The sequence below is a fragment of the Homo sapiens genome, chromosome 15, assembly GCF_000001405.40.
Source record: "Homo sapiens chromosome 15, GRCh38.p14 Primary Assembly".
NCBI lineage: Eukaryota > Metazoa > Chordata > Mammalia > Primates > Hominidae > Homo > Homo sapiens.
The window spans coordinates 88,306,107-88,322,360 of record NC_000015.10 but is presented as its reverse complement, the minus strand read 5'-3'; the positions used below and the strand labels follow the sequence as shown (position 1 = coordinate 88,322,360).

General features: G+C 45.1%; 1 long non-coding RNA gene across 1 annotated transcript in view; it reads right to left on the bottom strand.

Annotated features, from left to right (window-relative positions):
* Positions 1-83: 83 nt before the first annotated feature.
* Positions 84-16,254, bottom strand: part of LOC105370958 (uncharacterized) — a 31,383-nt gene continuing 15,212 nt past the window's right edge. Inside the window, exons 2-3 of the long non-coding RNA XR_932589.2 lie at positions 3,445-3,557; positions 84-167 (exon numbers count right to left, since the gene is read on the bottom strand). This is a non-coding gene — a long non-coding RNA (uncharacterized LOC105370958). The remainder of the gene's footprint in view (positions 168-3,444; positions 3,558-16,254) is intronic.

Genomic DNA, 16,254 nt, shown 5'->3' with positions numbered 1-16,254 from the left:
GTAAAGACAGAGTCTCACTTTGTTGCCCAGGCTGATCTTGAACTCCTGGCTTCAAGCGATCCTTCTTCCTCAGCCTCCCAAAATGCTGGGATTGTAGGTGTGAGCCATCACCCCCAGATAGAACATTTCCATCTCTGCAGAAAGTTCTGTAGTGCTGCTCTAGAGGTCTATGGCAAGGAGGGAGGCACACAGTTTTAAAACCCCTTGCTACTCAAAGGGAGGTCTATGGGCTTTGCATCCATATCACCTGGGAGCCTCTTAGAAATGCACACTCTCAGGCCCTGACCCAGACTGACTGAGTCAGAATCTGCATTTTTTTTTTAAGACAGAGTCTCACTCTGTCACCCAGGATGGAGTGCAGTGGCACAATCTGGGCTCACTGCAATCTCTGCCTCCCAGGTTCAAGCAATTCTCCTGCCTCAGCCTCCCGAGTAGCTGGGATTACAGGCATCCATCACCATGCTTGGCTAATTTTTTTTTTTGTATTTTTAGTAGAGATGGGGTTCCACCGTGTTGGCCAGGCTGGTCTCGAACTCTTGGCCTCAAGTGATCAGCCTGCCTCAGGCTCCCAAAGTGCTGGGATTACAGGTGTGAGCCACTTGCCCAGAATCTGCATTTTAATAGGATCCCAGGTGATTCCTGTGCATACCAACGTTTGGGAAATACTGCTCTAAACCTCAATCTTCCTGTTATAGAAAGTGGGAATCATACCTTGTAGGATTAAAGAAGGTACCCCCTAAAAACTTCTTGCCCAATAGTGAGTGCTCAATAAAATCTAGATGCCTTAACCAACCTCATCTGCCTCAATGAAAAAGTGATTTGTCTGAGTGTCATGGAGGACCTGATGTTGTTTGGAGACCAGAGAGTGCCACCTGTTGTCCTTCCCAGCTGTAGAGGCAGAGTGTGAGGTCTGAAAGGGATCTGCATCTGCTCTGGGCACGTGTGAGTGTTTTCTTTCCAAAGCCCAAGCTGCAAAACCCTCGAGGCCCACGGCTCAGAGATGTTTATCAGTTGAGTTCAGAGTCAGCATCAGAGTGAAGGACTAGGGACCCAGGTAAAAGGAAACATTGTGTTTGGTCATTAGTAAAGTGACAGTTAAACAGATAAGCAAGCAGATAGATTATCTCAATGCACTGTGGTGAGGAAAAGGCAAGGGCCATGTCCACGTGGCTGTGGGAGCTGAGGGGCGCTTTGCCATGGAGCAGGCAGGGGGCAGGGAGGGTGCCTGGGGAGGCTTCTGAAGCAGGGGTCTCCTAAGTTCAGATGAGATGGTTGCAGCACAGGGGCTGGCAGGGGAGACATGAGTGGGCACAGTGGGCAAAGGCAGCCTGTGATGGCAAAGGGATGGAGCTATGCACCAAGCTGGGAGTACAGGGCACCACGCATTGCTTGGTTCTGTTGGAGGATGAAGGATAAGGGTACGTGGAGTCTGGGAGGAAGGGCAATTGAGGTTAGAGGTGGGCAGGAGTTCAGACACAGGATGGTGTGTGTGGCACTAACAATTATCCTGTAATGAGAAAGCTGCTGAGGGGTTTTAGGTAGAGGAATCATGAGGCTGCATTTTTGAATTAGAAAGATCACAGGAGCAACTGCGTGAAGCAGGAGCTGGAAGCAGAGATCATTAGGGGTTAGTGTCCAAGTCCAAGGAGAGACAGTGTAGGCATGGACACTGGCAGGCAGGTTAAGGGGAGAGGAAGGAAAGTGTTGAGGACAAGAGGCCACACATTAACATGTCAGCTGTTAATTTTGAATTATTAATTTTGAATTTGTGATCAGTTTTTTAAAAAGTTTACTTGTGTTCAGAAATAATTCTTCAGACAGGGTGCAAGTCCCCAAATCTATGAGACAGTGAAAGCTGTTTACAGAGGAAAATTAATAGCCTTAAACGCCTTCATTACTAATGCCTTCACTTCTAATGAAGAAAGACCTTCCCTCGAAGAAAGGGGTGGTGTTTAGCACTCATCTGAAGAAATTAAAATAGGAATGACTAAATAAACCCAAAGAAAATGGGGAAAGAATATTAATAAAGATGAAAGTGATGGTTAATAAGACATAAAACAATGTATGTTAGAAAGAAATAAAACCAGAAGACTAGCAAAATAGATGAACGTGCCTTGAGTGCCTGATTAAGGGGAGGGGAGATATTAAAGAGAGAAAACAGAGCTGATATAAATTAATTGCCTCAGCAAGATGCTTGGGAGGAAACTGTAAACACAGTACTTGAGATTCAAGAGCCTCTTCCTATACCGATAATGGACCTGGCAACTCCAGTTCATGCTTAACCTTCTGTTCCCTGGAGCCTGAGGATACCAGCAATATTTTGTTAATATCATTCTCCTTTCCGTCATACAAAATACAGCGACTCACATTTATCCAGCTTTTCTTCTATATGTCAGACGCTATGCTAACTACTATGCATAGACTTTATTTTAATCCTCCCAAAATTGAACCAGGTGAATTCGGGCCAAGTATGACATCATTTTACAGATGAGAAACATCAAATTTAGCATGACAGATTCATTTGCCCCATGCGCCCACCTCTCTCGAGAGGCAGCATTTGCGCTGGGACAACATGACTCCTGGCCTTCTGTGCCCATACAGTTTAACTGATGCCTCTCCCTCAGTATACCTTCCCCCCGGGTGAGCATGTTTGGAATATTCAAAGGTGTAGGAGGAGCACTTTGGTTTTGACTCAGCGATAATCTGGACCCTGGGTTCCAGTCACATTGTTGTCACTTAGAGGCTCAACTTGGGGGCTTTGTCACTTAAGGCTTCTAAGGCTAAGCTAAGCCTTCTTAAGGCTCAGTTTACAACTCTTCTTTAAAATAAAGGAGTTGGACTGGGCCCCTATGCTTTTAAAATTCTTTTATATCTTTAAAAATGCCTTATAGTCAGACCTCACTGCTAATGAAGGTGGGCCTCGACATTCCGTATCAATTAGGCATGGATGTTCCAGCCCTGTCAGTCTTACCTTCTGTGCAGGATCCCTGGCTCCCCTCTAAATAAGTGTACCAGATACCAGCACATAAACTGCCACAGTAGGAAGTACAGACAGTGGCATATGGTGGTACTGCCCTTAGACCTGGTTGGACACACCTACTAGAACCCCCACTCTCTTATATTCTGAGACAGGGTCTTGCTCTTTCTCCCAGGCTGGAGTGCAGTGGCACAATCATGGCTCACTGCAGCCTTGACCTCCTGGCTCCATCAATCCTCCCACCCCAGTTGCCCAGGCTGGTCTTGAACTCCTGGGCTCAGGTGATCTGCCTGCCACACTCTCCTCTTGACCACACTTCCCAAGCCTACTTCCAGGGCCTGTGTAGGCCTCCTACTCCTGGCCCACCTCTCCCTGATGGATTCACTGGTGTGTGCATGTCCAGCCCCATGTGGTGTCCGGGGGCAAGTGCTGGGGCTGTGGACAGAGTTGGGCTTTGCAGGACTTACAGGCTGGAGTGCATCAGGTTCCTTGTGGTGTGAGAATGAGCTGGGAGTGGGAACAGAAGGGGAACACTGGCATGGGGCCTCCCACTGGAACTCACGCCCTGCCATGTGGTGCCCTAGAATTTAATAAAGGAAAATTCAATGGCCTGGTAACAGTTAAACTCCCCACAAAAGACACATATGCATGAGAATATATGTACATATATATATGAATGTGGATAATAGACAGGCAAAAATGATAGGTCACAGGACAGGTCAAGCTTGATCATTAGAGGGCTGGGTAAACGAGCACAACTGTGGCAAGAGAAGCCCTCAGAAAGGGGCTGCACTGCCTAGAAGAATTTCGGGGGCCAGGATAGAGAGAAAGCAAACTAACAGAAATGTATCTTAGCCTTCTGATCTCACAACTAGCTCACTTCCTTTGGCCCTGGCTTGAACCTGACTGGAACAATTTCCTCCAAATAGATGTGCCAGGATTCATTCACTCCTTCATGGCTCCATCAGCGAATATTTATGGAGCACCTCTCATGTAAAACACAGTGCCAAGGATGGCAGTGAGCAGAACCAGATCTGGCTCTGCCTCATGGAAATGCAACCTGGTGATGAGAGACACATGTGGATTGAAGAATCGTAGAATGGTGCAGGTAAACCAATGCTTGCGAGGCACCCATAGTGGGGAAGGTCCGAGGGCTCCAAGGTGCCCAGCACAGGACCTGACCTGGGATGGTAGTGGTAGGTGCTTTCCTGAGGATGTGACATTTGGGGATGGGACAGCTTGTGTGTGGTCCCCGGGATGGATGGAAGGCCAGTCTGCTTAGGGGTAAGAAATGGATGGGGAGAGGAGGCCAGATGAGGCTGGAAGGTAAGCAGGGGTCAGGAAAGAAGAGGGAAGCATCAGGGGAGTTTCTGGCTCCCAGAGCCCCTTGAAGGTGGGGCCTTCCTGAGATAAGGAAACTGGAAGAGAATCACTTCTAGGGGTGGAGATTTCAGGGAGGTCATGAATTTGGCCTCCTAGTCATGAATTTGACCTGCCGATCTTGAAGTACTTAAAAAATAATTTATTTTGAAATAATTTATCTCGAAATAATTTCAAACTTAAGAGCTGCAAGAACTGTACAAAAATCTCTTGACTTCCCTTTTCTCAGCTTCCCCGGTAGTTAGCATTTAATCACATTTGTTCCAACGCCCTTAAATGCTCCCCTAAAGACACCGTCCTTCATTACCACCACACAAGCCCCAAATCAGGAAAGAAGCCACAAATCCCATTCAAATGTCATCAACCATCTCAACAACCTTTCTCCTTATGGCCCAAGATCCCGTCCAAGAACACACGTTGCATTTGGTTGCCAAGTCATTTTGGTCTCCTTGCGTCTGAAACACTCTCTCACTGTTTCCCTGGCTTTCATGTGCAGTTTGAAGGGTACAGGCCTGTCTTTCTGTGTGATGATGTGTGTGATATCTGTGTGATGAAGCTCAGCCCACTTTAATGTGGGGTTTCCTCGTGACAAGAGTCTTTTAAAAACATGTCAGGTTTATTGAGGTTTAATTTACACATGGCAGCATTCATCCTTTCTAGTGTGTTTTTATGGGTTTTGACAAATGCATAGCACCAGGTAGTCATACCACCATCAAGATATACAGCATTTTCATCCAGGGCATTTTTCCTGGGCATGGGACCTGTGCACGCTCCACACATAGAAGAACTCACGCTTGGTTGAATGGTATTGGTATCCTGTCACTGTCTTTCAGTTCTTAATAATTTTTAAACAAGGGACTCCACATTTTCATTTTGCACTGGACCTTGTGAATTATGTAACCAGTCCCGTTTCCCATCACACTAAAAAGTTTCCTGGTGCCCTTTTCTTTGACTATCTGTTTCCTATCCCTGAGTTTTGTTTTTTCCTGGTTTCATATAAATGGAATCATCTCGTATGTAGCCTTTCAAGATAGATTTCCCCTTCACTTAGGGTAACGCATCTGAAATTCATCCTTGTTGTTTTATGTATTAGTAGTTTGTTCCTTTCTATTGGTAAATATTATTTCACTGCATGGATGTATCACAGTTTGTTTGTTTATTCACCAGTTGAAGCACATTTGAATTGTTTCCAATATTTGGCACAATAAACATATACATACAGTTTTGTGTAAACACGTGTTCTTATTTCTCTTGGATAAATAGCAGTAACAAATAGAGTGGGATTGCTGGGTCAAATGGAAAGTATATGTTTAACTTTAGAAGGAACTGCCAAATTGCCTTACAGAATGGCTGTATCATTTTGCATTCCCGCAAGCAATTCATGAGGGTTCCAGCTGCTCCAAGTCCTTGCCAGCACCGCGTGTTGTCAATATTTTTTTATTTTAGCTGTATCAATAGGTGTGAAGTGGTATCTCGTTGTGATTTTATTTTGCATTTCCCTAAAGAATAATGATGTTGGGCATCTTTTCATGTTTGCCATCTGTAGATCTTCTTACATAAAGTGTCTATTCAAATCTTTTGCCTATTTAAAAACTAGGTTTATAGCCAGGCGTGGTGGCGCATGCCTGTAGTCCCAGCTAGTTGGGAGGCTGAAGCAGGAGAATTGCTTGAACCCGGGAGGCAGAGGTTGCAGTGAGTCAAAATCATGCCACTGCACTCCAGTCTGGGTGACAGAGCAAGACTCTGTCTCAAAACAATAACAACAAGAAAAACAAACAAACAAAGAAACGAAGAAAACTAGGCTTGTTTTCTTATTATCAAGTTATGAGTGTTTTAAAATATGTATTCTGGATACAAGTTCTGTATCAAATATGTGTTTCATAAATATCTCCTCCTGAAGTGCTTTTGAAGTGGTTAGAGCTGACGCTCAGAGGAAAGTTCTAGGCTGATAATATAAAATACAACTTAATTAGTGTGTAAATTAGAATTGAAGACATGGGCATGGGTACAATTGTCCAGGGAGAAAGAACAGCCTTGAAAGAAGAGGTGGCTTCAGACCAAGCATTTAGGAATTACAACATTCAATAGCCAGGCGAATGGGATGTGCTAGAAAAGGAGATTAAAAAAGAGCTGCCCACATTGTAGGAGAAAACCCAGGAAAGTGTGAGGCCAGAGAAGACAAGAGAAAGGAGTGTTTCAAGAAGAAAGAAATGGTTAAGAGAGTCAGATGCAGTTGAGAAATTAAGTAAGATGAGGACTGAAAAATATCCTTACTACATTTAGCAACATGGAAGTCTTTGATGAGCTTAGCAAGAGCTATTTATGTGGAGTGATGGAGCAAGGCTGGTATTCACACCATACCAAATGATACAGCCATGCTGTGTGAACACGTGGAAATACTTATATATTGGTTGGTAAATAGCTACCACCCCAATCCCCCTGAATGATCCCCCATAGCCCCAGTTCATTGTCTCTCTCCCTGGCTCACCTACAGACCTCAACATGATTCAGTAGCAAAAGTCAACCTCCCAACCAGCAGGGGGATGTAGGACCTTGCCAAGCTCTATGGCTGGATGATTGCTTTCCAAGCCATCTTGGTAACTAAGTATCTTGGTTACTTAGATACTTATGTCACTGCTGGATGGATGTCATATTGAAGTGGATTGAGAAATCAATGGGAAGTGGAGAAACTGAGACAATGACAATGAACAATTCTTTATAGAACTTTTGTTTTGAAAGGGAGGAGAGAGAGAGAGGGGATAGAAACTGGATGTGAGGCCCAGGGGCGTTAGATTGTGTTCATTGTTCTTTTTTAGGTGAGAGACTTCAGTGTGTCTAAATGCTGATGGAAGGATTTTGACCAAGAGAAATTGCCCTAGTCGGCAAGACCCAGGCACTCTAGTATGCATGACCGTTATGCTTACAGTATTTTTCAATGTAAATTAATAAGTTAGAGTCCAGTTTATATATCTATCTAAAGAACTCAGTTGATTTGAGTTGTCCCTAATTGACAGATCAGTTCTCTGTGTTAACACCTCAAGTTTCTGAGCCTCTCAGTTTGAGGACCAGATCCTGGACTCTAATGAATTCACTGATGCATATGCTACCTTGGGAGACTGATATGGTTTGGCTGTGTCCCCACCCAAATCTCATCTTGAATTCCCACATGTTGTGGGAGGGACCCAATGGGAGGTAATTAAATCATGGGGACAAGTCTTTCCCGTGCTGTTCTCGTGATAGTGAATAAGTCTCACGAGATCTGATGGTTTTAAAAAGAGGAGCTCCCCTGCACAAGTTCTCTCTCTTTGCCTGCCTGCTGCCATCCATGTAAGACATGACTTGCTCCTCCTTGCCTTCCACCACGATTGTGAGGCTTCCCCAGCCACGTGGAACTGTGAGTCCAATTAAACCTCTTTCTTTTGTAAATTACTCAGTCTCAGGTATGTCTTTATCAGCAGTGTAAAAACGGACTAATACAGAGACCCATTGGCCTTCTGCTAACCCTGCCTGGCATCATCTTAATCTCCCTGCTAGAGATCTGTTAAATCTTCTAACCATCCCAATCTAGGCCAGTCAGGACCACCTCCCAATTTCTAGTGCAAGCCACAGTTACTCCTAGCAGATCCTTGAGATCACCAAGTGTGTGGGTCATTGAGCATTGATAAGTTGTGAACCCTGCCCTCATCTTGTAGGTGGAGAGACAAGGCAGTGTTAAACCAAGTTAGAATAATATAAGGTGGACTGCAACATGTACCATCATAAGTATAAACAGTATGATGGGAGCCCACAGCAGGGTGCAACAGGCTCTGTTGGGGAGGTAATTAATTCTGCAGTGCAACTTGGTATTCTTCTTGCCAACCCTGCATATCATCTCCCTTTCACTACATGTTCCCTCATTCACACTCCATGCCCAAGGAAGTATTAATAGTATCCTCAAATGGTACCTCTGGAGGTGCTTTCCATCTGCACAGCTGCATGGGATTGGGATTAGTTCAGGCACCTGCTGGTCCTGGAGCTTAGAACCTAATCACATTCCCTTCCCTTAGACTGTCTTCAGACACACACAGCACAAAGGTCCACTTTGCCCACCCTCTCAAAGATGCTTTCTTTCTGCCTGTTGTACAGCTATTTTACCCTCCCAGGGTTGACTTTCTAAGTCCTCCCAGCAAGGCTTTCCACCACCTCATTGACTTGAAAGAGGGGAAAACACAAGCTTCATTCAGGGTGGATCGTTTTGATACAGAAAAGATTTGCTTTGCCCCAAAGGGAAGGCCGACTTTTCTCTTCTGGCGCAATTCTCTGGGTCCTTGTAGCTTTCTGCTCACACTGACTCACAAATTCCCGAGGTCTCCTTTCCTCTTGGATGGAACTACCCTCACATTTCCCGGCTAGCAAAGGGAGAAGTTGTACCCAATAGTGCTGAAGGCCTCCTCCAGCTCTGCTGACTTATGAGCCTTTGTCCTTTGTGGTTTGTCCTGAGCCAAGGACAACTAGGCACTGCCCTATGCATTGCCCACCTGAAACAGCTGCCCACACGTGACGCCATTAAGGAAGGCCACCCTGGTCTTGCGGTGTTTCAACTGCAAGGTTACAAAGTAAAGATAATGGGAAATAATGCTGCTTCATCATTTTTAACCTTTCTGAATAATGCCTCTGTGCATAACCCAGAGATTTTTATTTTAAAATCAATTGTGCTTATTGTGTTCTTTGGAAACATAAACGAGAAGCTGGGAAGAAAGAAGTGGGATCCAGGGTTTATTAAGACAAAGAGTTTGGAGTGGGGTGTGGGAATGTGGTCCTGCCTAGCCTAGACTGCTGTTGTCCTGGAGGACAGGGTTAGCAGCTGAAAACCCCAAGTGGTTGCTATGGGAGAAGAGAGCTTCTCACGCTGCAAAAATGTACCAGACATATGTGGGCAAAGCATCTGTCTTCTATTACCCTCAGGCGCCCAGAGAACCTCCATTCTTATCCCAAGGAAAATGGGGCTCTGGCCCTAAGGAAGAGCTTTTAAGAGAAAAATATCAGACATCAAATTCAGCTTCAGCCACTCGTTAGCTGTGTGGCCTTGGGAGGGTTACATGATGCCTCTTCTGCAGAATGCAGGCGACAACACCTATTTCTTGGAGGTCAGAGGGCCCCTGAAACAGCATACACCCTGGACCAGAGTAACCAATGGCTTGTTTAGAAGCCCAAGGCTCAGCCCCAAAGTAGCATGTGGAAGTGTGGGTTGCAGGAGTGGAGGGGCTGGTAACTTGAGAGAACAAAGTCAAGCTCAGTGGGTATAAGAGGGGCTGTCATCTCAGCCCAGTCGATTCTGCAGCTGCCTTGGGCATTCTGGTGACAGCACTTGGAGCAGTGGAAACCCCATGCATGGCCACATAGTGTCCATGCTTGGCTCTGTTAAAGCCACAACATACATACACAAATCATACACGCACACACACACACACCACGCACACCACACCATTTGCCCTCAGCCCCATCTCACCACTCAGAACCTCATACTCCTTTTCCAAATCTACTTCACTTCTTATAGGAGAAAGCAGGGAAGCTCTTTTTATCACTTGCAGGGGAAAACCATGAAGAGCATGGGCCACATTAGACTGTACTAGGGCGTGCTCATTTTTGCTAGTTACATTACTATGCATAATCTAACAGCCACCTGGTGTAAGAAACAGAGCAGGCCCTCCAAGAGGCCAGGGAGCTTTTCCCTGAGCGAGCCCTTAGCTCATTTTGGCACTCCTACAGATCTTGACACAAGTAGGGATGGTTATTTTCCAGCCTGGGCCTTAGTGCTGGCAAAGACATCTTACTGGAGAGGCCATACCCTCACTTTAATCCCAGTGATCCGCATTGATCTCTTTTCTGCTGTTCTCTAGGACTCACTTATTTGCCACCTATGTCCTAATGGGACTAAAAGTAGGAAGGTGGAGCGAGGGAGGAGGGATGCAAAAAGTAACTGTTTCTTCTTGCTCACCAGAGATTATTCATGAGGTTTGATCCACCAGATTTGGGATTATTTTCATTCCCTGCCTGAAGTAAATGAGCTGAGCATGGCGGCAGACTTGGGGTTAGGGAGCAGATGCTTAAGGTGTGAGGATCTGCAGGGAGATCTCAGAGACCTGGGGCAGTGTCAAAGGTTCCACGGTGGCTTTTTATTGTCCTAGAGATCAAGCCCTTCTTCTTACACTGTCTTCACCAATGAGCACAGAGGTCCATGTGTACCTTCTCAGTGCAGTATCAATTGTGTCCTATGTGCATAGCATCACCTGGAGTTGGGCAGCATGGCAGCCCTGATTCCCATCACTGTTCAAGCCCTAGCTGCAATAGGCATTGCTTTGTGGGTCTGTCACTCCTGCCTGTCATATGCTTTATGTCTGGAATGGTCCTTCATATCCTGCATCAAAACTGGCTCTCTAATACTTATACCATCCTAGAACTCCAAACTCATTCAAGAAGCAATTTCACATGTCTAAGAGATATCTATGGCTCGACCTTATCCAGGCAAACACCCATCTTACCAGGTAGGGTAGACACTGCTGGTTGCCTACATAATAGATCTCTCTGTATCCCAAATCCCGTCTTGTTGTTAGGGTTGGCCTTCTACTCTAAGTGTTAGAAAGTCACTTACTCACCTCACTAGGCTCCTTTGCATCCAGAGCATGGACAATGGGATCTAATCTTTACCAATGGGGCAATGTGCAGGGAGATCTCCAAGAAAGATTTTCCTCCCTGGTAAAAAGAGACATGTGAGGATAAAATGCCATTTTTAATTCTTAAGAATATGGGGTGTGAGGATATGATACCTGGAGCCGCAGCAGTCATCTTGACACCATGAGGATACACACCTTAAGAAAATTGATGCTGACAGCAGAAGGAAAGAAAGAACCTGGTTCCTTGATGACATTGTTGAACCACTGGATAGACCTTTGAATGCTGCTGGTTCTGTGACTTCTTGTTAGGTTTGGTAATTAAATGCCCTTCTTGATTAATTTTTATGGGACATTTTGTTACATGCGGCCAAAAGCCTCATCACTGGGCTTCAGAACCCGACTACCACCATCAGTGTGTGGAACTCTGTAGTGGTGGAAAAGGAGTCCTGGCTATTATGTCCAGCTCGTCTACCACCTTCTTGTGGTGAGTCAGGGACTGGTAGGAAATAGCCTTGAAGGTCAGGCTAGAGCTCAGTTCTTGATGAGAACTGGAGTAGGTTCAAGGAATCAGGTGCCAGGACACAAGGTCACCCCAAGTGTGCTAGGCAAAGAGGTTACAGCATTACCCTCTTAAAAGCATTCAGGGAGTTATTCTAGCCCCGTGCCCACCTAGAACATGGTATTCCAGTCTTAGACCACCTCTAAAAGCCTGTCTCATATGAGTAGGGGGAGGTCTGAACAAGCTCTATGGCTGGCTGGCTCTTGTTGGCTCAGGGACTGGCCAGGATGAGCTTGCAGTTGGCAGGGTTCACAACCCACACAGGACATGGGGCGAAGTCTGCAAAAGGCTTAGCTGAGGTGTGGCCTGACACCCTTGGCTAAATTTTGATCTTTGCTTTTTGAATTTTTCATGCTGTTCCTGTCTTCCCTCCCCTTGGCTATGAAAAAGTGGCCTATGCCATACTTACTGCTTAGGCTCAAATTACCCTTTGAGGAAACATCCTTGTCTAGGGCAGGTGCTGCTCCTTACTGCAAGGCAGGGCCCCTAAAATCCCATCTGTCAGATGGGGAATATCTTTTAAAATCACAGGACATTAGGACTGAAGACACTGTGACCCAGATAGTGACAGACGATTTGCTAAGGTCACCAGCTGGTTACTGGAAGAGCCTGCTTAGAATCAACACTCTGGATGCTGAGTTTGATGCATCCTATATGACACTAAAAATAATTCACTGGTTCATTTCATGGGTGCCCCCACACGGCCATAATGACATGGGCAAACGTGTTCTTGAAAATTGGGGCTGAGGACAGACCAATTCATCCTTCTTACCCTCTGACTTTTTATTACCTTCCAAGACTTGTACTCAAGTCATTGGGGAAAAGATGATATCAGAGCATTGGGATTCTCAGCCATAGGTGTGAGAGGCCCTCAGGTTTTGATGGGTACATCTTTTTTAGGACTAATTTTTATCAGACGACGGTGGGCCCAATTTGGTGTGGCATGGATAAATAATTTAACTCTTGTATTTTTTGAAAACTAGACATCACTCAAGGGTGATTCATCAATAGCAGTGTCAGTGACACCATTATTTCTGAGGAGCTGTATGATAGGTAGCTTATGAGATCTTCCCCCCCATTGAAGTAGTTTACAGGCTAAAATAATTCAAGAACCACTGTCATTCTTTGTGTTTTGTAGGTCACTCAAATGAAAATTTAAGGACTAGTGAAGCAATCTGTATTTGTCAGGGAAGGAGCGTACTCCAGAAGGTGGCCCCTAGTGGTAAGAAAGTCCTCAGGGGAACAGGTTGAATTCTGAGTGACTAGAATAACTTACTCCGTTGTGTTTTGAATACAGATGGCTTGCATCTGCCTGTATGATGTGTATATATACACCTTCACTCAGTCATGTGTGATGGCATAGCATCACCCACAAAGTCACCCCTCCACCTGCAACGACACCCATGGTGTGGTGTGGTGGAAAGTACACAAATCTGGCCGATTGCGGTTTCTCACGCCTGTAATCCCAGCACTTTGGGAGGCCGAGGTGGGCGGATCACGAAGTCAGGGAATAGAGACCATCCTGGCTAACACGGTGAAACCCCGTCTCTACTAAAAATACAAAAACAAAATTAGCCGGGCCTGGTGGCAGACGCCTCTAGTCCCAGCTACTCGGGAGGGTGAGGCGGGAGGATGGTGTGAACCTGGGAGGCGGAGTTTGCAGTGAGCAGAGATTGCGCCACTGCACTCCAGCCTGGGCGACAGAGCGAGACTCCGCCTCGGAAAAAAAAAAAAAAAAAAAACAACCGCAAATCTCAAAGTGAAGCAAATTTGGGATCCAATTCCAGCCCACCAGCCAATTGTCTGGAAGTATTCTCTTTCCCTCACTGTATCTCAGTTTCCAAATCTGAAAAATAGGGATAATTATATTGACCCCTTCAGGTTTCAGTAAAGATTAAGTGAGATCCCTTATTTAAAAAGAGCATGGCATACAGTAGGGCCTCAATGAATGCCAGTTCCCTTTCTTCTTTCCTTTTCCCTCACCATCTGCCAGCTGTTCTGGGAAATTTGGTTCCGGCCCCTGGCAGTCTGTACATCATAAACTTCACAGCCACGCTGTGGGAAAGACCCAGCACAGTGAAGATGCTGGGAGCAACGGTCTTTCCTGCTGCTCTCCACATCCCTTAAGCAGATGCATCTGCTTCTCGGCAGAAAGCAATCACATCCCTCTCTTCCCCAAAGGGAACCTGACTTCTGAGACCTTTTTAGGCATTGGGTATCAGGGTAATAATAGTAACAGCTTCCGTTTATTGAGTTTTTACTATGTGCCAAGCATCGCGTTAAGCGCTTTATGTGCGTTCTTACCACGTGGCAGGAATGAGCATCCTCAGACTGAGGAAACCCAGGTAGGGAGAAGCTAAGTTGCTTATGCAGGGTCACATAGCTAGGAAGAACTGGACTCAGGATAGAAATCCCAAACCAAACCTCACTCTTGATCAAGGGCCCCAGCAAGATGTACGGTATACATCTGCCTTTGTGTGAATGTAGCACGTTATGACTATCTTATAATTGTCGTCAATACTGCATTGTCATGGATAATGTGCATTTTAAAATTTCAGACTCCAGCACGACCCAAGTAGGTATCAGATAATGTCTGTCCTTTCTGTTTGCTAAAATATATGTTTATAAAATGTAGGTAAGTGCTACTCAAAATGTGGCCCCAGCTTCACCAGGGAGCCTGCTAGGAATGCAGATTCTCAGGCCCCGCCCCAAATTTGCTGAATCAGACTTGGGGGGCAGGCTCAGGGATCTGTGTTTTAGCAAATCTCCAGGGGATTCTAACTTATAAGAAGCACTGGAATGGATGTTTCTTTGAGGTCCTCAGCACACAGCTTTGCAGAAAAATAGCGAATTAAAACCCACCATCCCCTGATTGGTTCAATCAGCTGGTGGGAGGTTTCTACGTTGTGCCAAAGACCTTGCAGTGTTCTTGCTTTCTGAGAACGTGAGGCTGACCCGTTATTTTGCTGAGAGCTGCTAAATGAAGGAAGAACCATCAGCTTCCTCTTTGACTGCACGACACTCTCCTATCCCTTTCATCCAGCGACAATGGCAGCAAGCACAGCCACCCTCGGAAAGATTTAAATACTCAATTAATCAATGGAATATTCCATTAGTGGGATAATCAGTTGCCACTGCCCTGATCTATAGTTACATCTCAGCTGGGCCTCACAAATTGATTCCTGATGAAGTTCTAATTGACTGGACCATCTGATAAAGGGCCAGTTGGAGCTTATTGAAATACCCGGTGAGCAGTCCCTGGGGTCAGGGCCTTCCTTAAGGGAAGGCAGAGGGTGGAAAGAGGGGCAGAGGAGCATGATTTATGCCTGGTTCTCACTACATCTCCTCTCCAACACAACATTTATGGGTCCCAGGTGAGGGATGAGCACTCACAGCTGGGATGTGGGGATGACACAGCTGCTCTGAGCCTACCCCCAGCCCTGGGTGGCAGGTGGCCTGAATGGGATTTGCCCAGGAACTCTCGGGGCAATATCTCAAACTTGAAGATGCTTAAGAGTAACCCAAAGAACTTACAAATGTAGGGTTTCAAATCCTGGTGTCAGATATTCCAACTTTCTGGGTCTGGGGCATGTTTTAGGAATCAGTGTTTTGACAGATCTCCCAACAGTTCTTATGCTGGTGGCTTCCAAACCTCACTTTGAGAAATACTGCCTTAGGAGCTGGTGGCTTAGAAGCAGGCTGTGTCCCCAGGGTCCAGCTTCCTCTGGGGGAGATTAGAGCTTCTTAGGCCACGTGTGGGGACACACATATCTGTGCATTATCTAAGGATCCCAGCCTCTTTCTTCCCTAGCACCATTTTCGTTATTTTTTTCATTTGTTTGGAGTGATATTTCCTTCAAAATAATTTATGTTTACTACCAATGAATTTGCCTTCACATTTTGATTAATCTAAGATATATATATACACACATATATACGTGTATATATATACACATATATACACACATATATACGTGTATATATACACATATATACTTGTATATATACACATATATACACACATATATACGTGTATATATATACACATATATACACACATATATACGTGTATATATATACACATATATACACACATATATATACGTATATATATATACATATATATGTATATATATACGTATATATATATATACAGCGACGTATGCAATGGAAACAGTGTAGTATCACATTTATTTGTTTCATTCATCCAGTGGCCACTTATTCATCAGACATCATTTAAGGATCATTATGTGCCAGGCATTGAGGATATTTTTTTAAAAAGTGAAATCAGTCAAATGCATGGTTTCCAACTGCAAGGAGCTCACACCCCTTTGCGGGAGACAAGCAAGAAAATGACGTGATACATTAGAGATAAGTACAGGACCCTGCTGTGAGCTTTACTACTAGGCTTTGTTGAAGGAAAATATATAATACCTATTAGGTTTTAATACCTATTATGTTTTTTAGAAAATTTGAAAACAGCTCCTGGAGCCCTGCATCTACCTTTGAGAATTCCCCCAGAACAGGGAGTCCTGGGTGACATTAAGGCCCCATCAGCTGAAGATGCCCCTGGGTAGTCCATAAGTGTGCATGACTCTTCCTGTGGGGACCTGCAGACACTGGGTGGTCTTAGGGGGGCTAGATTTAGATATAAGTGATCCAAAACCTTGTGTACCTAAAAAGGA